Below are 26,626 nucleotides of genomic sequence, written 5' to 3' on the forward strand. Positions count from 1 at the left end.
GACAAATGAGGGCAGAGTTCTAAGCTCTCTTCTAATTCTAAAATTCTAATGTAAAAATTGCCAGACTAGTGGTGGCGCAAGCCTGTAATCCCAGATACTCAGGAGGCTTAGGCAGGAGAATCGCTTGAACCCAGGAGGCGGAGGTTGCGGTGAGCTGAGATCGCGCCATTGTACTCCAGCCTGGCAACAAGAGGGAACTCCATCTCAAAAAAAAAAAAAATCACCAGACTAATATTTACCTTGAGTGTTATGCGCATCCATGTGAAGAGACCACCAAACAGGCTTTGTGTGAGCAATAGTTTTTTAATCACCTGGAGTCAGCAAAAGGAGATGGGGTGGGGCAGTTTTATAGGATTTGGGTAGGTAGTGGAAAAATTACAGTTAACGTGCGTTTTCTCTTGTGGGCAGGGGTGGGGGTAACAAGGTGCTTGGTGAGGAGCTCCTGAGACTCATTGTCCAGGAGAAGGAATGTCACAAGATCAATTGATCAGTTAGGGTGGAGCAGGAACAAATCACAATGGTGGAATGTCATCAGTTAAGGCAGGAACTGGCTATTTCACGTTTATGGTTCTTCAGTTGCTTCAGGCCATCTGGATGTATATGTGCAGGTCACAGGGTTATGATGGCTTAGCTTGGGCTCAGGGGCCTGACATTGAGGATTCTTTTTTATCTTCCTCTGATGCTCTTCTATAAGAATGACTCTGTTTTGGAAGAAAACGCAATTAAGATTTTCCATCACAACAACCACTATCTCCAAATCTGTATTCATTCCTTTTAATTCATTATAAGTCTCATCTACCTAATGAGATAACTTTTTTGAAGACAGGAATTGTATGCTGTTTAACAGTGCTTTGTTTCTTCCATAGTTCAGTCATCCTTGATATTTTGCGGGGGACTGGTTCTAGGATACTGCCCCCACACACCAGAATCTGTGAACGCTCAATCCCTTACATATAATGGTGCAGTATTTGAATATAACCAACACACATCCCCCCGCCACCACCCAATTAACTTTTTTACTTTTTTTCCCCCCCGAGACAGAGTCTTGCCCTGTCGCCCAGGCTGGAGTGCAGTGGCACGATCTCGGCTCACTGCAAGCTCTGCCTCCTAGGTTCATGCCATTCTCCTGCCTCAGCCTCCCGAGTAGCTGGGATTACAGGTGCCCGCCACCACACCGGGCTAGTTTTTTTTTTTTTTTTTTTCTTTGTATTTTTAGTAGAGATGGGGTTTCACCATGTTAGCGGGTGGACCTTGTGATCCGCCCACCTTGGCCTCCCAAAGTGCTGGGATTACAGGTGTGAGCCACCATGCCCAGCCAATTTTTGTATTTTTAGTAGAGACGGGGTTTCACCATGTTGGCCAGGCTGGTCTCGAACACCTGACATCAAGTGATCCGCCCACCTTGGCCTCCCAAAGTGCTAGGATTACAGGCATGAGCCACCGCACCCAGCCTCAGACTAAACTATAATAAAAGAGAAAGCAGAGAGAGTAAGAGCACCTCATATGGAATCACCTACATTTCAGAAGCTGGAAAGAAAGAGAGTGGTCTACTTGATGATATGAAGCATGATCAATCAGTATCAATACTAGCTTTAGGGTGAAGGCATAGCCAAATTGGAAACTGTGGACAAATTTCAGAAACTGCACCAAAACTTACAAACCTCAAATCCTAGTTTTCTTCCTTTCTCTTTGGCCACTACCCTCAGTTTCTTTTTTTTGTTTTTGAGACGGAGTCTTGCTCTGTCGCACAGCCTGGAGTGCAGTGGCATGATCTCAGCTCACTGCATCCTCCGCCTCCTGGGTTCAAGCAATTCTCCTGCCTCAACCACCCGAGTAGCTGGGATTACAGGAACCCACCACCGTGCCTAGCTAATTTTTGTGTTTTTAATAGAGACGGGGTTTCACCATCTTGGCCAGGCAGGTCTCAAACTCCTGACCTCAGGTGATCCACCCACCTCAAGCCTCCCAAAGTGCTGGGATTATAGGCATGAGCCACCATGTCCGGCAAGTTTCTTTTTACTTAATTTGTATTTATTTATTTATTTGAGACCGGGTCTTGCCCTGTTGCCCTGGCTAGAGTGTAGTGGCGTGATCATGGGTCACTGCAGCCTGAACCTCCTGGGCTCAAGCAATCCTCCCACCTTAGCTTCCTGAGTAGCTGGGACTACGGGCTGTCACTACTACACCTGGCTAAATGTTGTATTTTTAGTAGAGACAGGGTTTCATCATGTTGGCCAGGCTGGTCTCGAACTCCTGGCCTCAAGTGATATGCTTGTCAAAGTGCTGGGATTACAGGTGTGAGCCACTAGGCCCAGCCTCAGTTTCTTTTATGGACTCACTTACCTCTGCAGATTGGCTCAAATGTCATTATTCTCAGGCTTCTCTCCTGTTTACAGGTGTCCTGGGCCATCCAGTCCAGTCTCATGATATTTGCCACCCAATGTGCTCATGTTTCCCAAACCAGCATCTCTTCTCTAGACCCATCCTCTAATTAGCTGTTTCTCAAGCAACCTTTTGACTGTTGTTTCTTTTTACTTCCCTGGTACCAGGGATAAAAGTCCCCTGAATTCAAACATGAATATTCACCTCACCCAGTCCTCTGGGAGGTCCATAAGTCCCTGTTTTGGGAAGAATGAAGCTGAGCTCTAGCTAAAAAAAAACAACTCCATTTGGGGATCTAAAAATTTTGCAGCTTGGAAGTGCAAAAAAAATGTGCAGCTTTGCACAGTGAGTCAGGGTGACCAAGTTCTCCTAGTTTGCCAAAGAGTCTCTCAGTTTTAGTACTAAAAGTCCTAAATCCCAGGAAACCTCTCGGTTCCAGGCAAACCAAGTGGTTTGGTCAACCTGACAGGGAGGTGTCCTTTATGAGGTATGGCAAGAGTGAAGGCTTGGCAAAGGGTGGCTGTGCCCATCAAACACAGACAGTTTATGAATAGTTGGGTGGGTGGGGCATATGCTTTATTCCCTAGGGCCCTCAGGGCCTTTGCAGAGGTCTGTAAGAGCTGGTGGGGGCAATGGGACAGTGAAATTCGGGTATAAGGCTAATGTGACCTCATTTAAAATCACAGGCTGGAGAGGCCCAGGGACTTTGGGTATCTATTTACATAGCCAAGATAACATCAGATTCAAATTTTATTTAGTGCTTTTTGTATCTATGACTGTCAAACATTGTCACAGTTTAACAGCTACATAATACTCCATCAAAAGGATATTATATGAAGTGTGGTGGCTCACACCTGTAATCCCCACATTTTTGGGAGGCCAAGGCAGATGAATCACTTGAGGTTAGGTGTTTGAGACCAGCCTGGCCAACATAACAAGACCACATCTCTACTAAAAATACAAAAATGAGCCACATGTGGTGGCGCATGCCTATATTCCTAGCTCTGGGACTCTGTCTCAAAAAAAACAAAAACAAAAACAAAAAAACCAAAAGAGGATTTTCAGTGTGTTCCAGAAATGTTCCTATTATAAATACATCTTTGTGCTAAAAGTTTTTTTTCCCTATATGTAAGATTTGTTTCAGGCTAGATGCAGTGGCTCATGCCTGTAATCCCAACATTTTGGGAGGCCAAGGTAGAAGGATTGCTTGAGGCCAATAGTTTGAAACTAGTCTGGTCAACATAGGGAGACCCCATCTCTACAAAAAAATGTTTAAAAAAACTTAGCCGCACATGGTGGCACGCCCCTGTCCTTCCAGCTACTTGGGAGGCTGAGGAGGGAAGATCACTTCAGCACAACTGTTCAAGGTTGCAATGAGCTATGGTTGCACCACTGTACCTCAGCCTGGGTGACAGAGCAATACCCTGTCTCTTAAAAAATAAAAATATACATTTTTTTCTGTAGTAATTTGGAAGTACCATTAAGTGCCAGAGACTGTGCTAAGCACTTTACATGCATTATTTCCTTTAAATATCATCATAAATAACACCCTGGAATAGGTAATATTCTCCCCAGGTAGAAACTGGTGCTTAGAGGTTATGTAACTTTCCCAAGGCCACATAGTGTGTGATGGAGCCAAGATTTGAAATCAGCACCACCACATACTTTCAAAATATGTTGATGGTGAATTTTGGTTTGTTTACAGCTGTGTCATCTGTTGCCTGGCTTTGCTCTACTGAGCCACCACTGAGCCTTGTATATGTCTCTCTTTATTTTTGGTTATGTGCACTGCCCCAGTGACCACACAGTTCTCTCTTTAGCACCTCTCCCACTGTGTTGAAATTGCTTGTTTACACTTCCACTCCACCTACAAGTGGAGGGTAGAACTGCATTTATTCATCCTTTTCCAACACATCTAGCAAGACGTAGTAGAGACGCAAGAGAAATTTGTTAATGTATAAAAGGAGAACTCCAGGCCGGGTGCAGTGGCTCACACCTGTCATCTCAGCACTTTGGGAGGCTGAGGTGGGTGGATCACGAGGTCAGGAGTTGGAGACCAGCCTGGCCAACATGGTGAAACCCTGTCTCTATTAAAAATACAAAAAATTGGCTGGGCGTGGTGGCTCACACCTGTAATCCCAGCACTCTGGGAGGCTGAGGTGGGCGGATCACAAGGTTAGGAGATCGAGACCATCCTGGCTAACACAGTGAAACCCCATCTCTACTAAAAAATACAAAAAATTAACTGGGCATAGTGGCGGACACCTGAAGTCCCAGCTACTTGGGAGGCTGAGGCAGGACAATGGCGTGAACCTGGGAGGTGGAGCTTGCAGTGAGCTGAGATTGCGCCACTGTACTCCAGCACTCCAGCCTGGGTGACAGAGCAAGACTCCGTCTCAAAAATAAAAAAATAAAAAAAAATAAGCTGGGCATAGCAGTGGGTGCCTGTAATCCCAGCTACTCGAGAGGCTGAGGCAGGAGAATCCCTTGAACCCAGGAGGCGGAGGTTGCAGTGAGCCGAGATCTTGCCACTGCCCTCCAGCCCGGGCAATAGAGTGAGATTCTGTCTCAAAAATAATAATAATAAAAATAAATAAATAAATGGAGAACTCCACTGGTTAAGAGCGAAGGGAAGGATTACTTCTGGATTTAGGAGACGAACTGCTGGACAGGTCACTCGACCTGTAGAGTTTTGTGCATTTTGGATTTTGCTGATTGTATAACCCCATGGTGAGGTTTAACATGTTCCTCTGGAACAGGAATTAAAAGAAATTAAAGAACGTGTAAGCAGAAACTCAGTTGTATGTAAGAAAACCCAATTTCCCCTGAGAAAAAGAAGGAGCTGAAGTCCTTTAAAAATTAACTGCCTGTTTTTCTGTGGCTAGTGAGCCTTATCTCTCCTCCTTTCCCAGGCACTGTGAAGATCCTGTTTCCCTAGCTGTGCAGCTGCAAGGTCACTAGACAGATAAACTCAAGTTGTAAAAAATGTTTTTCCTTGAAAAGTAAAAAATGATGTAATATATGTCTCAATTAATTGAATAACCGTCTTTGTTTCTCACTTCTGTAATATGCTTCCCCCTGCACAGATCTCCCCCACCCCACCAAATGCTTAAAAGGTAACTTAACTCTTTGTTCAGGGCTCAGTCCTTTGGATGTTAATCCACCTGGGCTGGTGCACCTAAATAATAAAGATCCTCCTCAATCCCATCAGTCTCTCTGATTCCTTATCAATCCTGCTAACCCTCTAACCTTATTTCCTGTAAATTAGACTTATAGGCCTAATCAAATTCAGGTTTAACCTTTTGGCAAGAACACTTTACAGATGGTACTGTGTACTCTTATTAGATCACTTCAGAAGACGCATGTTTGGTTTGTGATTACTTTGTAAAAACAGTGTAGTAGGTACTCACTAAAGGAAATTTAGAAAATAATAAGCTTAAGGCTGGGCGTGGTGCCTCATGCTTGTAATCCTAGCACTTTGGGAGGCTGAGGTGGGTGGATCACCTGAGCTCAGGAGTTCTAGATCATCCTGGACAACATGGTGAAACCCCGTCTCTACTAAAAATACAAAAATTAGCCAGGCGTGGTGTCCCATGCCTGTGGTGCCAGCTACTTGGAGGCTAAGGCAGAAGGATCACTTGAACCCTGGAGGTGGAGGTTGCAGAGTGAGCCAAGATCACACCACTGCACTCCAGCCTAGGTGACAGAGGAAGACTCTGTCTCAATAAAAAGAAAATAAGGCCAGGCACGGGGGCTCACGCTTGTAATCCCAGCACTTCGGGAGGCCAAGGCCGGCAGATCACGAGGTCAGGATTTCGAGACCAGCCTGGCCAACATGGTGAAACCCCATCTCTACTAAAAATACAAAAACTAACTGGGCATGGTGGCAGGCGCCTGTAATCCCAGGTACTCAGGAGGCTGAGGCAGGAGAATCGCTTGAACCTGGGAGGCGCAGGTTGCAGTGAGCCAAGATTGCCCCACTGCACTCCAGCTTGGGTGACAGAGCTAGACTCCATCTCAAAATAATAATAATAAGCTGCACTCCAGCCTGGGTGACAGAGCTAGACTCTGTCTCAAAATAATAATAATAATAAGCTTAAAAAATAAAAACTTTAGAAAATACATCACCCCAGTTCCCATCCCTACCTGTCTATCCACAAAACCAAGGCATTCCTGAGAGTAATTCATTTATTATACTAATATAACAAGTGTTTATTAAGTATCTACTACTATATTCAAGTACTATTCTAGGAGATAGAAATACAGCAGTTTACAAAATAAAACCTGCTCTCACATTCTAGTGTGGTAGACAGTTGATGCAGAATTAAAGAATATATGGGAATAAGTGTATTAAAGAGAAAAAATAAGCAGGGTAAGGGGAAACAGGTAGTGTAATATGTATAGGGGGTAGGTGTACATGGGGGGAGTCAGGAAAGGTTTCACTGAGGTGAGACTAGAGGACAGCTTAATAATGTAAAGAAACACGCTATGCAACAATTAGGGGAAGAGCATTCCAGGAAAGAGGGAGCAGAGAAGGCAAACCCTGAGCAGGACCATGCCTGTGTATGCAGGACATCAGATAGGTCAAGGTGCTAAAATGTAATAATCCAGGAGGATATTGTAGGGAAAGAGCATCAGAGAGGTAGCTGGTAACTTTTGGTAGGAACCTGCCAGCTATTTTAAATCTTTAGCTTTATTCTGGTCTTTTTAATTTTCTTTTTTTGAGACAGAGTCTCACTCTGTCACCCAGGCTGGAGTGCAGTGGCACAATCTCAGCTCTCTGTAACCTCTGCCTCCTGGGTTCAAGTGATTCTCCTGCCTCAGCCTCCCGAGTAGCTGGGACTAAAGGCATGCACCACCATGCCTTGGCCTCCCAAAGTACTGGGATTACAGGAGTGAGCCACCATGCCCGGCCATCTTTTTAATTTTTAATGTTAATTAATTTTTATAGAGACAGGATCTCACTATGTTGCCCATGCTGGTCTTGAATGACTGGCCTCAAGCAGTCTTCCTGCTTTGGCTTCCCAAAGTGCTGGGATTACAAGTGTGAGCTACTATGTCCAGTGAAACTTTTTTTGGGGGGAGATGGAGTCTCACTCACTCTGCTGCTCAGGCTGGAGTGCAGTGGTGTGGTCTTGGCTCACTGCAACCTCTGCCTCTCGGATTGAAGTGATTCTTGTGCCTCAGCCTTCCAAGTAGCTGGGACTACAGGCGCATGCTGCCATGCCTGGCTAATTTTTTTGTATTTTTGGTAGGGAAGGGGTTGCACCATGTTGCCCAGGCTGTTCTTGAAGTCCTGACCTCAAATGATCCACCTGCCTCAGCTGGGATTACAGGTATGAGCCACTACACTTAGCCCTAAATGTGAACTTTTGAAATGGATTTTTTGGGTAAAGTCCAGGCAGGACATCAAAGAACAAGTATCCTGGTAGTGCGACAAGAATGTGGTTCTTTTCATTAAATATTTAACTTTTTAGAAAAGGATCACAAGGGCCAGGTGCGGTGGCTCACACTGTAATCCCAGCACTTTGGGAGTCTGAGGCAGGTGGATCACCTGAGGTCAGGAGTTTGAGACCAGCCTAGCCAATATGGGGAAACCCCGCCTCTGCTAAAACTACAAAAATTAACCAGGCATGGTGGCACGCACCTGTAGTCCTGGCTACTCGGGAGGCTGAGGCAGGAGAATTGCTTGAACCCGGGAGGCGGAAGTTGCAGTCAGATGAGATTGTGCCACTGTACTCCAGCCTGGGCGACAGAGTGAGACTCCATCTCAAAAAAAGAAAAAAAAAAAGAATCATAAGAAAAGCTCGGGGACAGTAACCTTATTGTGAAGGATTTAGTAATACTACTCTTGTAATCATGGTGTTTCTGACGTAGCACAGGGCAGTGAAAAGAGAAACACTGAACTAAGTCAGAAGGCTGGGTTTCTACTACCAGTTGTGTATATAAGCAGAGCCACCTTGGGCTAACCACTTTACCTGAACCTCAGTTTCCTTCTCTGTCATTCACCCTGCCAGTCTCCTTGGGCTATTGCAAGAATAAAATTAAATGCTACTTGGGAAAATACTTCACAACCTGAGATGACTTGTACCAATGTGGGTATTATTACTGGGACCAAATGTGACTTTAAAAAGAAAAACAACCTTGACAAAGAAAACTCTGATTGGTTACTAAATCCCTATTTCTGAGATAAGCTACATTTCAAAGAAATTCTCCGTAAAAGAAAAATTGGATTCAGTTATCATACCAGATGGCTTTCATTCTCACCACTGACTCAATTCTGAAATAATTATATTTCAGTATGGTAATTATAATCTACACTATATAAACACACTGTAAACATAAACTGTGAACAGATGAAAACTCCAATATGTAAAAAGGTAATGAATGTTGAAGGAAGACTGTGAAAAGGGAAAAGGAAAAAAATTAAAATGTTCCCCTTCTAGGTCCTGATGAGAGTAAATGTTTACTATAAAAATGATTCAAATATTTTAAACACTTTTCAAACCAGGCAATATTTTAGGCCTACTGTATATTTGCATTTTGAGCTTCCAATACGGATAAGTGACTGGAAAAAGCAGCTAGGTTTAGGTTGAAAAACAACAACCCACCGGGGAACACATTTTAGCAAATTCTTCTGAAAGTCAAAAATGTTACAGTCATAGGTAAAAAGTTACAAAGAACTACCAATCGTCAGAAATAGCTGCCAATAGTGACTTAGAGTCCAGCAGAAGGAATTTTAGGTCAAGAAACCTAAAACAGGCTGAAAAACTTACCTACCCTATAGCTACCACAAATAACACTGTTTCCAGTCATGATCAGGAATCACATATTAAGACATAACTGCAAATTGTGCTATACTGGGTACTGTATTAAAAGGAAGTGAAATATGGTCCCCATCCTAGAAGTTTCCATACATATGAGTCTAAAAAACCATTAAAAATTAATCTTAAGGCCTGGCGCGGAGGCTCACGCCTGTAATCCCAGCACTTTAGGAGGCCGAGGTGGGCAGATCACGAGGTCAGGAGATCAAGAACATCCTGACAACATGGTGAAACCCCGTCTCTACTAAGAATACAAAATTAGCTGGGCATGGTGGCACACGCCTGTAATCCTAGCTACTCAGGAGGCTCAGGCAGGAGAAGCACTTGAACCTGGGAGGTAGAAGTTGCAGTGAACCAAGACGGCACCACTGTACTCCAGCCTGGGCAACAGAGCAAGAATCCATCTCAAAAATAAAAATTAAAAAAATCTGGGCGCAGTGGCTCACGCCTGTAATCCCAGCACTTTGGGAGGCCGAGGCAGGCAGATCACCTGAGGCTGGGAGTTTGAGACCAGCCTGATCAACATGGAGACACCCCGTCTCTACTAAGAAATACAAAATTAGCTGGCTTGGTGGCGCATGCCTGTAATCCCAGCTACTCCGGAGGCTGAGGCAGGAGAATCACTTGAACCCAAGAGGTGGAGGTTGTGGTGAGCCGAGATGTGCCATTGCACTCCAGCCTGGGCAACAAGAGCGAAACTCTGTCTCAAAAAAAAAAAAAAAAAATATTAATCTAACAGAAAATAGGAAAAAAGCAATGAAAAGCTAGAAAACATACAATAGTTGACTGAAAATAAAAATTTAGCATTAACTTTCATTCTTACATCTTTAATTTTTATGTATCTGAGTTTTTAATTGATGGTTTAATTTGCCATAATGAGAAAGAACATCCTATTTTTATGACTCTGTCCCATGGAAATGTAATGATAAATGGATCCAAATGCCACACTATTGAGGATTTTTTTGATCACTCTGATTGTCATGAGTAAGTTGTGCTTTTTCAAAAGCAGTTTTTTCCTACAATGTCATTTCCTGCTTCTCTGGCTCTGATTTTCAATGAATTGATAAATTGTAAATCTTGTTTTCCTCTTGTTTTTGTTTAGCTAAAATGTTGAAGGGCAAGGGAGAGGATGGTTATTTATAAATCTTGTATCTCTCTGAAAACACAACTTGCATTTTCCTTAATCTGATTGACATGACTCCAAATATGAAAAACAACTTTCATAAAGCACAAAAGAAAATTTCCTTGAATTTACCCTTTTTTATTGTGGGTAAGAGGCAATAGGTATAAATTTTCAACTTATTTTTTGAATGTTACTCACTATTAACCACCATATTTTAAAAAATTAATTGAAGAACTAATGTAGTTTATTATTTAATTTATTCAACAAATGTTTATTGAGTGGCAACTAGGTCCCAAGTACTGTTTTAACTACTGAATATACAGATGTACATAAACGAAACAAAAATCTCTGCTGCCCTGGAGTTTACATTCTGTGGGACTAGAGATAAAGGATAGATACATTACATAGAAGGTCAGCTAGTAATAAGTGTTATGGAGAAGCAGCAGGAATGGAGGATAAAGTGTGTCTTGAGGGTGTTGTAACTTTAAATAGCGGTGTCTGGAAATGAAAAGGTGGTATTTCAATCAAGATTTTCAGACCATGGCTGGGTGCAGAGGCTCATACCTGTAATCCCAGCACTTTGAGAGGCCAAGGTGGGTAGATCACTTGAGGTCAGGAGTTTGAGACCAGCGTGGCCAACATGGCAAAACCCTATATCTACAAACACACACACAAACACACACACACAAATTAGCTGGGCATGGTGATGCACACCTGTAGTCCCTGCTACTCTGGAGGCTGAGGTGGGAGGATCGCTTGAGCCTGGCGAGGTTGAGGCTGCAGTGAGCTGTGATAGCACCACTGCACTCCAGCCTCTCGACAGAGATCCTGTATAAAAAAACCTCTGCATTTCACTGTATGTAAATTATACCTCGATTCAAAAACAAAATGTGGCCGGGCAGGGGGCTGACCCCCCCACCTCCCTCCGGGACGGGGCGGCTGGCCTGGCAGGGGCTGACCCCCACCTCCCTCCCGGACGGGGCGGCTGGCCTGGCGGGGGCTGACCCCCACCTCCCTCCCGGACGGGGTGGCTGCCGGGCTGAGACGCTCCTCACTTCCCAGACGGGGTGGCTGCCAGGCGGAGGGGCTCCTCACTTCTCAGACGGGGCGGTTGCCAGGTAGAGGGTCTCCTCACTTCTCAGACGGGGCGGCCGGGCAGAGATGCTCCTCACCTCCCAGACGGGGTCGCGGCCGGGCAGAGGCGCTCCTCACATCACAGATACTTGAAGGCAGCATGCTCGTTAAGAGTCATCACCACTCCCTAATCTCAAGTACCCAGGGACACAAACACTGCGGAAGGCCGCAGGGTCCTCTGCCTAGGAAAACCAGAGACCTTTGTTCACTTGTTTATCTGCTGACCTTCCCTCCACTATTGTCCTATGACCCTGCCAAATCCCCCTCTGGGAGAAACACCCAAGAATGATCAATTAAAAAAATAAAAAAATAAATAAATGTGAACAGTACAGTCCCCTTTTCCTTTTATAAATGAAGAAAAACAAAGGCTCACTCCAAGAGTCAGACTTGCTAAAGGCTTTGATGATTTGCAGTATTCTTATTTAAATGTACAGAGCCAGCTTCAGAGGAAGGTTCTTCCAAAGACCTATCCCCTCCATGACACCAACCATCCATGATTTTTTTTTTTTTTTTTGAGACGGAGTCTTACTCTGTTGCCCAGGCTGGAGTGCAGTGGCATGATCTCGGCTCACTGCAAGCTCTGCCTCCCAGGCTCACACCATTCTCCTGCCTCAGCCTCCCAAGCAGCTGGGACTACAGGCACCCGCCACCACACCTGGCTAATTTTTTTGTATTTTTTTAGTAGAGATGGGGTTTCACCTGTAGCAGGACGAGCTGCAGACAAAACTCCTCAGACACCGAGTTAAAGAAGGAAGGGGTTTATTAGGCCGGAGGCATCAGCAAGACTCCTGTCTCAAGAGCCGAGCCCCCGCCCCGAGTGAGCAATTCCTGTCCCTTTTAAGGACTCACAAGTCTAAGGGGGTGTGCGTGAGAGGGTCGTGATCGATTGAGCAAGCAGGAGGTACGTGGGTACGTGACTGGGGGCTGCACGCACCAGTAATTAGATTGGAACAAAACAGGAATGAGATTTTCACAATGCTTTTCTATACAATGTCTGTAATCTATAGATAACATAACCGATTAGGTCCGGGATTGATTTTCAACTACCAGTCCCAGGGTGTGGCGCCCGGGCTGTCTGCTTGTGGATTTCATTTCTGCCTTTTAGTTTTTACTTTTTCTTTCTTTGGAGGCAGAAATTGGGCATAAGACAATATGAGGGGTGGTCTCCTCCCTTATTCCCCCACTTTGAGACTCTCACTCAATAGCAGGAGTTGTTTCATGTTTACTACCCATGTCTTCTTGCTAGACAGATCAATAGTGATTTATATAGTACACTTGTGCTGATGCATTTTGGTATACTAAGGTAGCGATGAAGCTTTTTATCATTTGAAGAAGTACAGGTAGCAAACGAGGGAGCAGTAAGTAGGTTCCTATTACTATTATAACTCTTATTATAAGAGTTTTAAATCCTCCTAGCGCTGGGAACCATTTTCTAAACATGGCCCCAGGATCAAATCCATGCCACACTTGCACGGGCACATGTGCCACTTTTGTCATATCTCTAACTATGTCTTCAACTACTTGCCCTTGGTTATCTATGTGTAGGCAGCAATTAGTAAGGTTAAATTTCCTACAGACCTCTCCTTCAGCTGCTAGCAAGTAGTCGAGAGCTAATCTATTTTGATAGATAGCATTTCTCATCTGAGTTTCTTGCTGGGCCAGAATAGTCAAGGCTCTGCCGGTTGCAGTGATTATTTTTAAGACAGCTTGTAACCGTATGATTCAGTTGATCATATAAATGGGGATCCGGTATCCCCACGAGCCATCTTGTGCCTAAGTAGCAGGCCCATAATACTGTATGATTCTCTCAGGGGGCCATTTATCATTGTTTCAATTTCTTATAGCTATGCTTTTCACGGGAAGCATAGACAGGGAAGCCCAGGAGTTCTCCTGTTTTTATGGACAGTAGGAAGAAAGATGGTTTAATAGTGCCAATAACACAACTACTTGTCAGGCAGCTTAGTGTAGGCTCTATGTCCACATATCCAGTATAGCCCAGTGGGGGCTGTCCAGTCCCGGTGGGATTCTGGGTGGGCCTAAACGGTCTGCAACTTTGGAAATTTACTGAATGGATTTTTCTCTGTGTGGTTTGAACTCCACCATGTAGTCTTCCTACAGGAAGGGTGAAGTCCTTCTCCACTCTTGCTATATAGTATTGTCTAATGATTGAGGCTTTTAGGACCCAGAAATTATCAGGGTGATTCTTTTGAGCTGGGAATTCATCAGGAACTGGGTCTGTAGGTACTAATTCTCGGGCTTCCCATGGCCATTGATCTGCTATTACAGTTCCTCCACATACATAACATGAAGTGACAGTGAGAGACTGGGCTACATGCTCGGCTAATTGCAAAAACAAATTTCTTGTTTTTCCTGGAAATTCTGTTATTGGCACATTTAGTTCATCATAGAAAGTTTGAAACACTGGCTCAAGAGAGCATTTGTAAACTTCTCCTCGAACCAAGATATTTACTCGGGGATTCAGTCCAGCCCCATTGATTCCTAAGGTCACACGCTACTCTTTTTTCCAGCGAGGATCAAGGGGATTGGTTATTACTAGCTCTAAGGGGTTACATTGTCCCTTAGCACAGGAAGGGCCATTTTTTTCCTTTCTGAAGGTGGACTGGATCCTTTTCATTTTTTTTAAATCCAAGTGGCCTAAATGACACAAGACCAGTATTTACATTTATTTCCACACAGTCCTAATTTATGACAGATGTACTTATTTTCTGCCATATAGCCTCTTTTCTAATTAAGAGAACCACACTTTATTCCTAACTTATTACTATTAATGACAGCACAGGCATCAAATTTTAAGGTGACTTGTTTGGGCACCCCTTTTTCTTCTGTTTTGGCTAACACTTTACTCATATCATTTATGAGCCCCCACCAGTCCTCAGTCCTTAATCTTATTTTAAAAACCGTGGTCATGGGAGGCTCAGATGGGTCATAACACACATCAGGTTGGTCACTTCCTGGGCTACATACCTTGTACAGAATAACATTATACAAACAAGTTATTTTTAGAGTTCCAGTACACTTATAATAACCATAAAATAATAGGACTGTAGCAACCTTTTGTCCTACCTCAGTGACTTGATGTATACACTGGAACAGTCCTCAGTCTGAGGAAGGTCAGTTGAAGTCCTTACTGTAAAAGTCCAAATTTTAAGGAAAATGAGTTCCGCAATGAGTTTTCTCATGCTTCGGCCGTGCGTGGACCAGTCAGCTTCTGGGTGTGACTGGAGCAGAGCTTGTCGTCTTCTTCAGAGTCACTTTGCAGGGGTTGGCGAAGCTACTCCCGTCCACGTACCCCTCACAGTCTACTGATGTTTAAGGATAGTCTCGGAGGTTGGGCCTGCTAGAATAAACTGAGTCCAACACCTCTACACAGTATGTTCAACTAGGCTCTCTGATACCAGGAGCAAGGTGGTGGGGTTTAGGGTGTTGCAAACTTCAGTGGTTATGTGGGGATTTTCACATAGCAAGCTTTGGTACTTGGTTAATCTAGCATTTGTAACCAATGAGGTCCTTTGGTAGTCATTAAAGTTACCACAGCATGGGGGGCCTTTATATTCAGGTTTTCCTAAGGGTTAGTTTATCTGCTTCTTGTGCTAACAGGGCTGTTGCTGCTAGGGCCCTTAGACCTGGGGGCCAGCCTTTGGAAATCCTGTCTAGTTGTTTTGAGAGATAGGCCACTGGCCTTGGCCAGGGCCTCACAGTATGGGTTAAAACTCCAACTGCCATTTTTTCTCTTTCTGACACATAGAGTGTAAAGAGTTTTGTCAGGTCAGGTAGCCTCAGGGCTGGGACCAACATGAGGTTTTCTTTTAACTCATGAAAACCTCGTTGTTGTTGGTTGTAATAGATGTAGTTTATCTAATCTACATTTTTATTAACTGTCACCCACTAAAATATTGACTTAAATCCTGCAGCTATTTGATTTCAAGCTTTAAATTGATCTGGTATTCTTCGTGGGACTCCAATTGCATCTAAATAGACATGAGAGTCGAAAGACCCATAAGGGGCTTCTCTCGCTTTACAATGTCTTTCTTTTTTTCCTTCTGGTTGATGAAATGCCAGGGTGAAAGGGATAGCCAATTGGACTAAAGTACAAGTGCCACTCCAGTTATTTGGCAGAGTGCCCAGTAAAGGTCCACCACAATACCACCACACATCTGCTCGGGGATGAACAAGGGCTGACTGATTGATAAGCTCTTGAAAATTCTTAAGCTAACTGCATCCTTTCAGGTCTCCAAGGAACGCTAAGTTTCCTCCCTGTTGTGAGAGACATGAAGTGAACTTAGTGTTGGGAGATGGAGGATGGATGGCCCTCGGGGGCTGACCCGCAGGGTGCTGGACTTTGGGATATAGCAGAGAGAGCTTGGCATGACTTATTAATACAGGCTGTAGAATCCTGGAAAAGAGCTACCAGGCAGCCCACATCTGGTCGACTGGAGGACCACCTTAGTGGAAAGGGGACAATCTGGGCCTCTGGCCTGCCATGTGCACAAGCATAACAATTGCTTTTGTTTAACGTGCAGATGGAATATTTGATGCATTTTAACCAGGCATTTGCATCTTGGTATCCTGTCTTCATTGGTAAAGTTTGTTTTAACTCTTTAACTTCTATGATCCTCTAGTAAAACGAATGTATGGTTTTAGGAAATTACAAAAACTGGTTGGGGCAGTCCATTCTTGCTCTTTAGTGGTCCACAGAACGTTGGACCAACTACGGCATAAAAACTCTACATCAGGGGACAAGACTCCTGGTTGGCACTGGGGTCTTTATCGAAATCTCCCTGGATTAAATGGTCCTAGTTTACTAATGTCCAGTCTGAGGAGAGTCAGGAGGGACAGAAGTACTTTTCTGAAGTAGAGAGCTGTCTTTGACTTGGCAAGTCCCCACAGGGTATAACAAGGCAAGCATTAAATGCAATAGTTTGAGGTGAAATTGACTTGGTTATGTTAATAACTAGATGGTCAGCAATAGCACGAGGAAAGAAAGAAGAGTAATAGAATAGATGAAAAGAGATTTTTCGTAGCTTTAGTTTGGCAGGGTTTTCCTCTGGGACTGTGGCCCATGACTCTGGAGGGGGTGGCACTTTCTTGATTCTGGTGTGACGAGTCCATCCTTTTTTGCTGTACGAACAGCAGTCTTGGTGGTTAGCAACACAAGGTAGGGTCCTTCCAGGCTGGCTCGAGTTTTTCTTCTTTCCACCTTTCGATGAGAATGTGATCTTCAGGCTGGTGCTGGTTTACTAGAAATTCTAGGGGTGGTACATGTGCTAAAAGACTTTTAGTTTTTGAGAGAAAGGAAAGTGGAAAATAAACCAAGCATATAATTCTAAGGAACTGACCTTTTGTTTTAAATGTGGGGACCTTGGCAGTGGACTTTATAGTCCTTAGTGCCTTTTTCCTGAGAAATTTCCTTTAGCACCTATTTTTATTAGTTTTTAAACCAAAGAAAGCCAAATACCATTTTACATTTAACAGTGCTTCTCGTATGATTTTTATACCAGATAAGCTAAATTTTATCTTTATATTAGTGTGTTATTAATATTAAACTTAATTTTAATAAAACCTTGTAGACATATGTATCTAATTGTTAATGTTTGACCATAAGGTAAGATTTTATAGATTCTTTTTAACCCTTTATAATTTTTGCAAAAGAGCAGGTTGGTGCTTTAAGAAAAAACCTGTTATGCTTTTACTTTAATGTCCAGTTCACAGAAAAACTGGATGATACTTCTTTAACTTTAGCTAATATGTTTACACACAGAATTTTCTTTACAATTAACATTTTGAAACTTGCTTAAATCTTCAAAACAATAATTATTTTTAACCTTTTAATGTAGGTGAAAATGTACATCCTTATGCCTCCTTACAATTCTTTTACCAAAGATATATTTTACTTTTCTTATACACCTTGCATATAAACTGTTTTTTTTTTCAACAGTTTTACATTCAGGAGGCCTAGTTACTTTTAAATTATACAACATTTTTTGCATAAATTTTTTTATAACATTTTTCTCTTTCGTGACTTTCGCAGACAATTCTTCGATATGCCTCAACTTTCTGACTTATTACAAATATTTATTTCTTTAAACAACCAGTTAATTTGTTTCAGGACAAGAATTTACCATATAATACTCTTTTTATATAAATTCCGCCCCCCCTTTTTTTCCTTTTTTTTTTCGAAGATGATAACCATTCTTTTCCAAAGCGAACCTTTTTTGTGTCTTGTGGACTAGGCCACAAGAATATAAGTTACTATATACATGTTACACTGTTAACTTTTAGCAAACTTTAGTTGAAAACCTTTAAAAAAAATTTTAAAAAAATGCATGTTGTGCACATGTACCCTAAAACTTAAAGTATAATAATAATAATAATAAAAAGAAAACCTTCTAAGTTTGGGATTTTAATTATCCTTTGCTATTAATAAGACCTTGTTTTGTCTAAATTAGAATTGGTATAGATGGCTTTTTTTTCTTAACTTTGTATCTCTCTCTCTTTCTCTCTTTCTTTCTCTCTTTGACTTTGTCTCTCTCTTTGACTTTCCTTTTGCCTCTGCCTCTTCCTCTCTCTCTGTGTGTGTGTGTGTGTGTGTCTCTCTCTCTCTCTCTCTCTCTATCCTTGACTCTCTGTCTGTCTCTTCCTGTCTCTTCCTCTCTCTCTTTTCCTCTTTTCCTCTCTGTCTCTTTCCTTTCTCTCTCTCTGCTGGTCTTTCCTTGCCTCTGCCAGCCACTTATGCTGCTGTTCTCTCAACCACTATGTGTTGGGGGTGGGGGGTCTAAAACCAGCTCTAATCAAGTGTCTCTGTAAGGGAACTGGTCTGGGTTCCTTGGCTTATAGGTTACCTTGTGCCATACCTTTGAAACAAGGGACCTGTCCAGGCTTCCTTCTAATGGCCAACCTACCTCTAATGCTGGCCAGTCTATCTTACACAAAGTTTTAAGTTTTCCTGGTGTCATAGCACTCCATAGTCTCCCTCAGATTCTTTTTTGAAATTTGTCAACATAGTTCCTAGTGGGGTGGGCTTATTCGTGCCTGACCTATGCTTCTTCAAGACAAAACACCACGCTCACACCACAAACACACCACAAAACAAAGAACCGGTAAAAAGGGCGCACACACAGTTTTGCAGTTTGCACCAAACCAAAATCAGAGTATCCAGAAATCCAAGCCAGGTCAAAACCAAAACCAAAGTATCAAGCAATCCAAGTCAAGTCAAAAATAAAAACCAAAGTGCCAGGAGAGGCACACCATGGGTGATCAGGCCACACTTCCACTCAAATGGAGTAGGCAAGTTCCCAAGACCAATCCTGTCAAGCAATTCAAACCAAAACCAAAGTGCCAATAAAGGCACGCCATGGGTGATCAGGCCATGCTTCCACTCAAATGGAGTGGGCAAGTTTCAAAGACTACTCTTACCAAGTTTTAGATGTCCAGACTCCAAGTGCCCGTTCCTTCCCGGTGTTCAGCCACTGCGTTGATCCTCCATGGGGGCCTGCCATACAGTGCTCTGGCGAGGCGTCCCAGTGGGGCAAATGCCTAACCAGGAGCGCCCTCAGGATCCGTGTTGCTCGGGCTGGTTGGAGTCCCCTGCAGGGATGTTCCACAGGGCAGGTTTAAGCCGCCTAAGGAGCTGCCTTGACCATCCGCCATTCACCTCGCTTCCCAGTCAGGGAACCAAGAAATCGAGCTGCAGACAAAACTTATCAGACACCGAGTTAAAGAAGGAAGGGGTTTATTAGGCCAGGGGCATCGGCAAGACTCCGGTCTCAAGAGCCAAGCTCCCCGAGTGAGCAATTCCTGTCCCTTTTAAGGGCTCACAACTCTAAGGGGGTGCACGTGAGAGGGTCGTGATCAATTGAGCAAGCAGGGGGTACGTGACTGGGGGCTGCATGCACCAGTAACTAGATCGGAACAAAACAGGAAAGGCATTGTCACAGTGCTTTTCTATACAATGTCTGTAATCTATAGATAACATACCAATCAGGTCAGGGGTTGATTTTTAACTACCAGGCCCAGGGTGTGGCACCTGGGGTGTCTGCTTGTGGATGTCATTTCTGCCCTTTAGTTTTTACTTTTTCTTTCTTTGGAGGCAGAAATTGGGCATAAGACAATATGAGGGGTGGTCTCCTCCCTTACACCATGTTAGCCAGGATGGTCTCGATCTCCTGACCTCGTGATCTGCCTGCCTCGGCCCCCCAGAGTGCTGGGATTACAGGTGTGAGCCACAGCCCCCGGCCTCATTCATGATTTATTTTGCCATTTCAAGTGATGGAGCTGGTTTTAGAGCTAGAAGAAAACCAAAATGCCAGTTAATCTAAACTAGATTCCTGCCCCAGTGCAGAACCAATCAAGACAGGGTCCCTGTCTTTCAGGGACCACAGGATTTGTGTTGAAGAGGAGAGGAGTGGGAGAGGCAGAGTGGATGGAGAACAAGGATTCATTTTCTATACTTTTAAAGTTCTTCAGTTAAGAAAATCAGCAATTACAATAGCCTAATCTTATTAGACATGTCTTTTCCTCCCTTCTATGTAAGGTCAATTCTGTTCATTTGCATAGGAGATAATCATATAGGAATCCCAAATTAATACCCTCTTCTGGTGACTTACCAGATTGGACACTGTAAGATTTTCTGCATAGCATTAAGGACATTTTGTACTTCTTCAACGCAAACAGCAGATAAATCTATCTCTTTCTGTTCCAATGAACTTTAACACATTAGAAAAACATGTATCTTTTAAAAAGGTTTAGAAAAATGACAACTTCATTTTATCATTTTAAAATAAGGTAAATTGGGCTGGGCGTGGTGGCTCACGCCTGTAATCACAGCACTTAGGGAGGCCGAGGCGGGCGGATGACCTGAGGTCGGGAGTTCAAGACCAGCCTGACCAATACGGAGAAACCTCGTTTCTACTAAAAATACAAAAAAATGAGCCAGGCATGGTGGTGCATGCGTGTAATCCCAGCTACTCGGGAGCTGAGGCAGGAGAATCGCTTGAACCCACGAGTCAGAGGTTGCGGTGAGCCCAAATCACGCCATTACACTCCAGCCTGGGCAACAAGAGCGAAGCTCCGTCTCAAAAATAAATAAAATAAAATAAGGTAAATTTAAGATTTGGAAGGTTTTAGAATAATACAAAATCCTTTAAAGGTTCTAGAAGTTGCTTTTTGTAATTAGACAATATAAATTCTGTATTTTTTCACATATTGCTTCCAACCCTTTGGGTCTTTTCCTTTCTCCAAGAAAGAGAAAGCTACAGGGGAGTGACTGACCGGGTAAGTGGTGAGCTTTCTCCAATGCTTCTGGCTGTTTTCTTTTTCTTGCATAAAACCAAAATCAACAACGACCAAACCAACACCAATCAAGGCCTCCCTGCCCCTAGCCTTTCCCAGCGACCCACTCTCATCTCAGGATCCCCCTCAAGCACATCCCTGCCGGCAGCATCTGTTACTACTGACGCTCCTCTACTTCCCTCTTGCGCTTTCTCAATAGCACAAATGGATCCAGTTCTTAAGTTCTCCCTCCCACAAAATCCTGTCTCCTCCCCTTCCCAGACATATTCCTGGCACTTCTTCTTCCGCAAGGGCCCATCTTCTCATATATACCAGCCGGTGTTTATTTCTTTGTTTGTTTTTGAGACGGAGTGTCGTTCTGCCACCCAGGCTGGAGTGCAATGGCGCGATCTCGGCTCACTGCAACCTCCGCCTCCTGGGTTCAAGCGATTCTCCTGCCTCAGCTCCTGAGTAGCTGGCGCGCGCCACCACGCCCGGCTAATTTTTGTATTTTTAGTAGAGACGGGGTTTCACCACGATGGTCAGGCTGGTCTCGAACTCCTGACCTCGTGATCCATCCGCCTTGGCCTCCCAAAGTGCTAGGAATACAGGCGTAAGCCACCATCCCCGGCGACCAGCTGATGTTCTTATACACATGGTGTCCCCTTCAAGGCACATTCCAGTTCCTATCAGGAGGATTCCTCCTCGGACACACTGTGCCCCCAACCTGATCCTTAGTGCTTCCCTCGAGACCTACAAACTGCCCCCTTCCCCGGGGGGTTCACAACGCCTTATGCCTCTCAGGTTCCGCCCCCGCCCCTCGCATAAGAATACCCATCTGCCTAGCTTCGGAAATTCACTTTCCCCCGCCCGTCCCCCGGAGCATCCCTTGGGCCCCTGTCCCTTTCCCGGGGCTCTTCTACCTTAACCCAGAGCAGAGGGTGCAGGCCTCCTGAGCCCAGGGGCCCAGTTATCTGAGAAACCCCACGGCCTGTCCCCCGTCCAGAACGTCTCAGCGAGCTCACGACGCGCAGTCACGTTTTTTTCCCCCCCTCTACACTGCAGATGTGGCTCCCAATGTTGACGTTGGCCAGGACCTTTGCAAACAAGCCAGGCCAAAAAGTTTCAATATTTACACTGGCTGCTTTAATAAGGGCATTGATCTTATCCTCCGTAAAGGTCACCTCATAGTCCTGCAGAATGAGGGCAGAGTAGATGCAGGCAAGCTGGGAGACGGAGGCCATAGCGCGGGCGAGTGTGGGGCTGGGGCTGCCGGACGCGGTGCTACTCACCGGATGAAGTGAGGGTCTCACCCCAACGCGGCCTTAGCTTCCTCGGAAGGACCGAACACCTTGGCGGCAGCCGAGGAAAGGGGTTCCACAGTTTTAATTTATCTGTAATTCCCACGCTTTACTGTTGCCACGGAAACCGCTGAGCAATAGCCTCTCAGAATAGGAAATCAAGACACAGTCAGAGGAAGGGCGGGACAGAAAGAGCCTAGCATCTCTCGGGGCTCTGGGTTGGCCACCCAGTCCTCCCCTGGTGACATAAAAAGAAAGAGACGGAAAAGGAAGAATTCTACCTGAGTTCGCCGTAAAGCGCCCGCCCTCTCGCCTCTACGCTTCCAGTTGCGGCTTATTACGTCACAGTAATTGCTGTACCAAGGTCAGAATCGCCACCTGAGGCCTGAATATCAGCGTAAGATAGTGTCCAAAGCAGTCTTAAGAAGAGGTCCCATTACCCCACTCTTTCCGCCCTAATGGAGGTCTCCAGTTTAGGTAAATAAAAGGATTGTTGGGAGGTGGAGGGAAAGAACTACTATTTCCAACATGCATTGCGGAACGAAAGGCCTTGGCCACACTGTTCCTTGGAAACTGTAGTCTTATGGAGAGGAACATCCAATACCAAAGCGGGCACAATTCTCACGGAAATCCAGTGGATAGATTGGAGACCTCCGCGGGCTTATACATGTCAACAGTAATGGATTGGAGTGTTGTTATGTTCTCCTATCTTGAGAGCAGAGACTAGGCCAAAAAAAGATACCTACAACTCCTAGGAAGACTACGATTCCCATCCAGCCCCACGAGTCTCGGGCAAGTAGTCCTCTAAGGTCAGTGGCCTGCGGGGACGCAGTGGGCGCCGAATTTGCCTGGGGAAGGGGAAATCCGCTCTGGCCCACATCTGCGCACTCCTAGTTCCGCCCCTCAGCCTCAATGTTTGTTATTGTTGTTCGGGTTCAGGTTGCTTCTGCCCCGCCCCATCGACGCAATCTCCACCAATCAATGGCGTGGTCGTTTTGAGGGACAAGTGGTGAGAGCCAATCATCTTGGCGAACACTCGGAGAAACAGGGGACTAGTTACTGTCTTTATCCGCCATGTTAGATTCACCCCACAGGGATAGCGGCAGAGCCGGTAGCGGACGGTCCTTGCATTGGCCTCCGGCAGGCGCCCCCCGGGGGCGGGAAGCTGGTAAGGAAGCAGCTGCGGTTACCTAGGGGTGGGGTCACGTCACGCTAAGAGGGTTTGGGGAAGTTCAAGGGAGGAATCCTGCAAAGAAGAGGGGCGACTTTTTCCGTGTTTCGGGACAGCTAATCTTTTTAGTGACAGGATGAGAGAGCCCTTCATGTTCAGAGGGACCGAGTTGGCGAGAAGCGCCGGAGAGTTGGAGAGTCTGTGGGTCAGAACATCCGGCTTCTACTGATGGAAGGCCACGACTCCCCAGTGGAATGAGGGCCTAGGCAAAGAAAATGAGAGAGCCCTCGGGGTAGTGACACTGTCTTGGGAACATGGAGTGCTAGGAAACGAAAACTGGAAGACTAGGATGAACTCTGCAAGTAAAAAAATGACACTACTTACACATCCTTCTCATCCCATCCTCGTTTTTTCGAGACCTTAAAGAGATCTCCTTGGTTAGGGACCTTCGGTTTTGGAAAGGCACTGTTTTTCCTTTTTGTCAAACACTCAGCTTTCAGGCCACACTTTTTTGAGACAGAGTCTTGCTTTCTCAAAGACCAACCCAGGCTGGGCTTGAACTGCTGAGCTCAAGCGATCCTCGTGCCTTGGCCTCCCAAAGTGCTGGGATTACAGGTATAAGCCACCGCTCCCGGCCTCAGGTCACACATTTTAAAGCCTGGATAACTTGGCTTGTAAAGGCCTCTGGTGGAGACAGTAATCAAAGCTCAGGTTGCCAGGTCTGTTTCATTAAAGGGATTTTGTTGAGGCTGAAAAAAAAATCGACGTGGAGGAAAAGCTAACTTGTGCCAAGCAAAGGTGAGTCAGTGGCATGGACTTACAATAATGCCAGTTATGAAAGCTGAAGGCCTAAGACCCAGCTATCTGACTCTACTGGCTGTAGACCTAAGGGGCAGATAGGGTTAACCATAGCTTTGGTGTTTACACACGTTTAAGATTAATGCTCCTGCTGAAAGAATTTTTTTACATGTCAGCCAAAGAGAGTTCCTTATGAAGACCTGGATATGGTCCAGCCAAGCTAGAATCTCCCACTTCCTGTTTTCTCTTAGTTGGCCCACCAGCTGGAGGAGCTCCAGAGTATCTAAATTTCCAATTGTGTAATTTGAGAAAAAGAGAGGAAGATTCATTTCCTTCACAAGTAGGGAAGTGTGTTTCTTGAAGTTGGAAAGTGATATTTCAGAATACCCACTTTTGGCGGACTGAGTCACTTCATTTCCTTGATTTTTTGCCTAAGGTCCTGGGGAATTGACAAAGATTCTCAAATTTTAAGGACCCCAATAATTACATTTCATATGAATGAATACTAGATGTCAGCAGGATTGTTGTTAAGAGACTAATATTATTTTGGTGGTGAACTTGGTTCTTGGTAGAAACAAAGAATGGAGAAAATTGGGGGATAATTGTCTTAGGGTTTCAAAAAAGTGCCTTTAAATGACAGTCTTAATTGTAGTATTTTACAGGGCAGTGCATTACATTGTGGAAAACAGTACAGGTTTATGGTTCTAAAGACTGGTTTATTATTATTTATTTATTTATTTGAGATGGAGTCTTGCTCTGTCGCCCAGGCTGGAGTGCATTGGCGCGATCTTGGCTCACTGCAAGCTCCACCTCCCAGGTTCACGCCATTCTCCTGCCTCAGCCTCCCGAGTAGCTGGAACTACGGGCGCCCACCACCACGCCTGGCTAAATTTTTTGTATTTTTAGTAGAGACGGGGTTTCACCGTGTTAGCCAGGATGGTCTCGATCTCCTGACCTCGTGATCCACCCACCTCGGCCTCCCAAAGTGCTGGGATTACAGGCGTGAGCCACCACATCCGGCCCTATTATTTTTTAAAATGTTTAATTGAACTTAATTTTTTTAAGGAGACAGGGTCTGGCTTTGTTGCCCAGGCTGGTCTTGAACTCCTAGGCTCATGATCCTTCCGCCTCAGCCTCCCAAAGTGCTAAGATTACCAGCATCAGCCACCACACCCGTCCAGTTTTTTATTTTATTTTATTTTTGAGACAGAGTCTCGCTCTATCACCCAGGCGAGAGTGCAGTGGCATGATCTTGGCTCACTGCAACCTTGCCTCCCAGGTTCAAGCAATTCTCCTGCCTCAGCCTCCTGAGTAGCTGGGATTAAAGGCCTGCGCCACTACACGCAGCTAATTTTTGTATTTTTAGTAGGGACGAGGTTTCACCATGTTGGCTAGGCTGGTCTCAAACTCGACTCAAACGATCTGCCTGCCTCTGCTTCCCAAAATGCTGGAATTACAGACATGAGCCACTGTGCTTGGCCTTTATTATCATATTTTTTATATTTGAATGACATTTTGAAAGAACTTGCGTACACATTTTTAATTTGATCCTTATGGTAACACTGTGAGATAGTCAAAGCAGACGTATTAGACCTATTTTATAGGTTAAAGAACCGAAGCTCAAAAGCGAACTGACCTGCTCACAGTTTTATGTCTAGTAATGGGCCGGAGGTATGTCTGGAAGCTAAGTCTTCCCAGTTTGTGTGCTCCTCCGCCTCCCCTCTGCCCCCCACCCCCACCCCCGCAGACCACGCTGTAAATCCCTGGGACTTAATCTTGTTCCTCTCAACCTAAGCTATTTTTTCATATCTTGTTCCTCTCAACCTAAGCTATTTTTTCATAAAGTCATAAAAACCAGTTAAACGTAACCATTCATCAGTAAACAAAATCCTTAATTAAAAACATAATGATCAGAATAGAAATCTGATTAAGGAATTGTTAACTTGTTAGGCATGATAATGATATCTAGACTGTTTTTAAAAAATTCTTATCTTTTAGAGGTACATACTCAATTCTTAATGGATAAAAGCATAGATGTCTGTCAAAATAATCTAGTAGGGAAAGGGTATTGCTGTAAACCTTTGGTTACAGCAAATTGGTCCTGAGTTGATAATTATGAAAGAAGCTAGCTTATGGGTCCATAGGGATTCATTATATTCTCTCTACTTTTGTATAGATTTAAATTTTCCCATAAAAATATTTTAAAAAATAGTCCGGGCATGGTGGCTCACGCCTGTAATCCCAGCACTTTGGGAGGCCGAGGTGGGTGGAATCACGAGGTCAGGAGATCGAGACCATCCTGGCTATCACGGTGAAACCCCGTCTCTACTAAAAATACAAAAAAATTAGCCAGGCGTGGTGGCGGGCGCCTGTAGTCCCAGCTACTCAGGAGGCTGAGGTGAGAGAATCGCTTGAAACCAGAAGGTGGAGGTTGCAGTGAGCCAAGATTGTGCCACTGCACTTGAGCCTGGACGACAGAACAAGACTCTATCTCAAAATAAATAAATACAATAATATAAAATAATTATATTATTATAGTTTGGTTAAAACATTAGTTGACTATGGTCAGTTCATTGTTGGGGCAGAAGTGGGAGATGCGGGGGTA

At 44.5% G+C, this 26,626-nt stretch overlaps 2 protein-coding genes, 3 long non-coding RNA genes and 1 pseudogene across 13 annotated transcripts in view, besides 10 other annotated features; 2 read left to right on the forward strand and 4 right to left on the reverse strand.

Moving 5' to 3' along the window:
• NBR2 (neighbor of BRCA1 lncRNA 2) overlaps nucleotides 1-5,589 on the forward strand; it is a 28,115-nt gene extending 22,526 nt beyond the window's left edge. Inside the window, exon 8 of the long non-coding RNA NR_138145.1 lies at nucleotides 5,520-5,589. This is a non-coding gene — a long non-coding RNA (neighbor of BRCA1 lncRNA 2). The remainder of the gene's footprint in view (nucleotides 1-5,519) is intronic.
• The window catches only part of BRCA1 (BRCA1 DNA repair associated), a 126,033-nt gene extending 103,788 nt beyond the window's left edge, over nucleotides 1-22,245 (reverse strand). The window contains exon 1 of the mRNA NM_001408458.1: nucleotides 22,044-22,245. The gene's annotated coding sequence lies outside the window, so the exon portion shown is untranslated. The remainder of the gene's footprint in view (nucleotides 1-22,043) is intronic.
• On the reverse strand, nucleotides 284-22,321 carry LOC101929767 (uncharacterized). The gene is made up of 2 exons (NR_110868.1): nucleotides 22,044-22,321; nucleotides 284-701 (listed from the first exon to the last, which is right to left on the reverse strand). It is a non-coding gene; the product is annotated as an uncharacterized LOC101929767 (long non-coding RNA).
• Nucleotides 8,481-8,668: a non allelic homologous recombination region, noted in NCBI's record as "sub-region a', recombines with sub-region a in the BRCA1 intronic recombination region, resulting in a deletion". NCBI's record gives the evidence for it as "EXISTENCE:nucleotide sequencing assay evidence [ECO:0000219][PMID:16772120, PMID:17561994]".
• Nucleotides 8,481-9,152: a biological region, named in NCBI's record as "BRCA1P1 intergenic recombination region". NCBI's record gives its function as "recombination_partner: LOC110485084".
• Nucleotides 8,702-8,724: a non allelic homologous recombination region, noted in NCBI's record as "sub-region b', recombines with sub-region b in the BRCA1 intronic recombination region, resulting in a deletion". NCBI's record gives the evidence for it as "EXISTENCE:nucleotide sequencing assay evidence [ECO:0000219][PMID:11880951]".
• Nucleotides 8,802-9,038: a non allelic homologous recombination region, noted in NCBI's record as "sub-region d', recombines with sub-region d in the BRCA1 intronic recombination region, resulting in a deletion". NCBI's record gives the evidence for it as "EXISTENCE:nucleotide sequencing assay evidence [ECO:0000219][PMID:11880951, PMID:19405878]".
• Nucleotides 8,802-9,152: a non allelic homologous recombination region, noted in NCBI's record as "sub-region c', recombines with sub-region c in the BRCA1 intronic recombination region, resulting in a gene conversion event". NCBI's record gives the evidence for it as "EXISTENCE:nucleotide sequencing assay evidence [ECO:0000219][PMID:26171949]".
• Nucleotides 11,330-11,860: an enhancer, noted in NCBI's record as "NANOG-H3K27ac-H3K4me1 hESC enhancer chr17:41311429-41311959 (GRCh37/hg19 assembly coordinates)". NCBI's record gives its function as "activates a minimal SCP1, AML or CMV promoter by ChIP-STARR-seq in naive H9 embryonic stem cells {active_cell/tissue: H9 hESC(naive)}" and the evidence as "EXISTENCE:reporter gene assay evidence [ECO:0000049][PMID:30033119]".
• LOC124900391 (uncharacterized) lies at nucleotides 12,206-22,882 on the reverse strand. Its single transcript, XR_007065760.1, has 2 exons — nucleotides 22,334-22,882; nucleotides 12,206-19,767 (listed from the first exon to the last, which is right to left on the reverse strand). It is a non-coding gene; the product is annotated as an uncharacterized LOC124900391 (long non-coding RNA).
• Nucleotides 19,988-21,872, reverse strand: BRCA1P1 (BRCA1 pseudogene 1; annotated as a pseudogene).
• Nucleotides 21,953-22,162: an enhancer, noted in NCBI's record as "active region_12236". NCBI's record gives its function as "activates an Ori minimal core promoter by ATAC-STARR-seq in GM12878 lymphoblastoid cells {active_cell/tissue: GM12878}" and the evidence as "EXISTENCE:reporter gene assay evidence [ECO:0000049][PMID:35858748]".
• NBR1 (NBR1 autophagy cargo receptor) overlaps nucleotides 22,327-26,626 on the forward strand; it is a 41,280-nt gene continuing 36,980 nt past the window's right edge. For 4 of the 9 annotated variants that reach the window (NM_005899.5, XM_006721903.3, NM_001291572.2 and 1 more), the window contains exon 1: nucleotides 23,132-23,220. The gene's annotated coding sequence lies outside the window, so the exon portion shown is untranslated. Of the gene's footprint in view, nucleotides 22,862-23,131; nucleotides 24,022-26,626 lie in introns of those variants that run through there. The other 5 variants (XM_011524813.3, XM_017024643.3, NM_031862.4 and 2 more) reach the window with 4 other exon arrangements.
• Nucleotides 22,433-22,482: an enhancer, noted in NCBI's record as "active region_12237". NCBI's record gives its function as "activates an Ori minimal core promoter by ATAC-STARR-seq in GM12878 lymphoblastoid cells {active_cell/tissue: GM12878}" and the evidence as "EXISTENCE:reporter gene assay evidence [ECO:0000049][PMID:35858748]".
• Nucleotides 22,733-22,842: an enhancer, noted in NCBI's record as "active region_12238". NCBI's record gives its function as "activates an Ori minimal core promoter by ATAC-STARR-seq in GM12878 lymphoblastoid cells {active_cell/tissue: GM12878}" and the evidence as "EXISTENCE:reporter gene assay evidence [ECO:0000049][PMID:35858748]".
• Nucleotides 23,163-23,272: an enhancer, noted in NCBI's record as "active region_12239". NCBI's record gives its function as "activates an Ori minimal core promoter by ATAC-STARR-seq in GM12878 lymphoblastoid cells {active_cell/tissue: GM12878}" and the evidence as "EXISTENCE:reporter gene assay evidence [ECO:0000049][PMID:35858748]".

This window comes from Homo sapiens, chromosome 17 (genome assembly GCF_000001405.40).
Source record: "Homo sapiens chromosome 17, GRCh38.p14 Primary Assembly".
In the NCBI taxonomy this organism is placed as follows: Eukaryota; Metazoa; Chordata; class Mammalia; order Primates; family Hominidae; genus Homo; species Homo sapiens.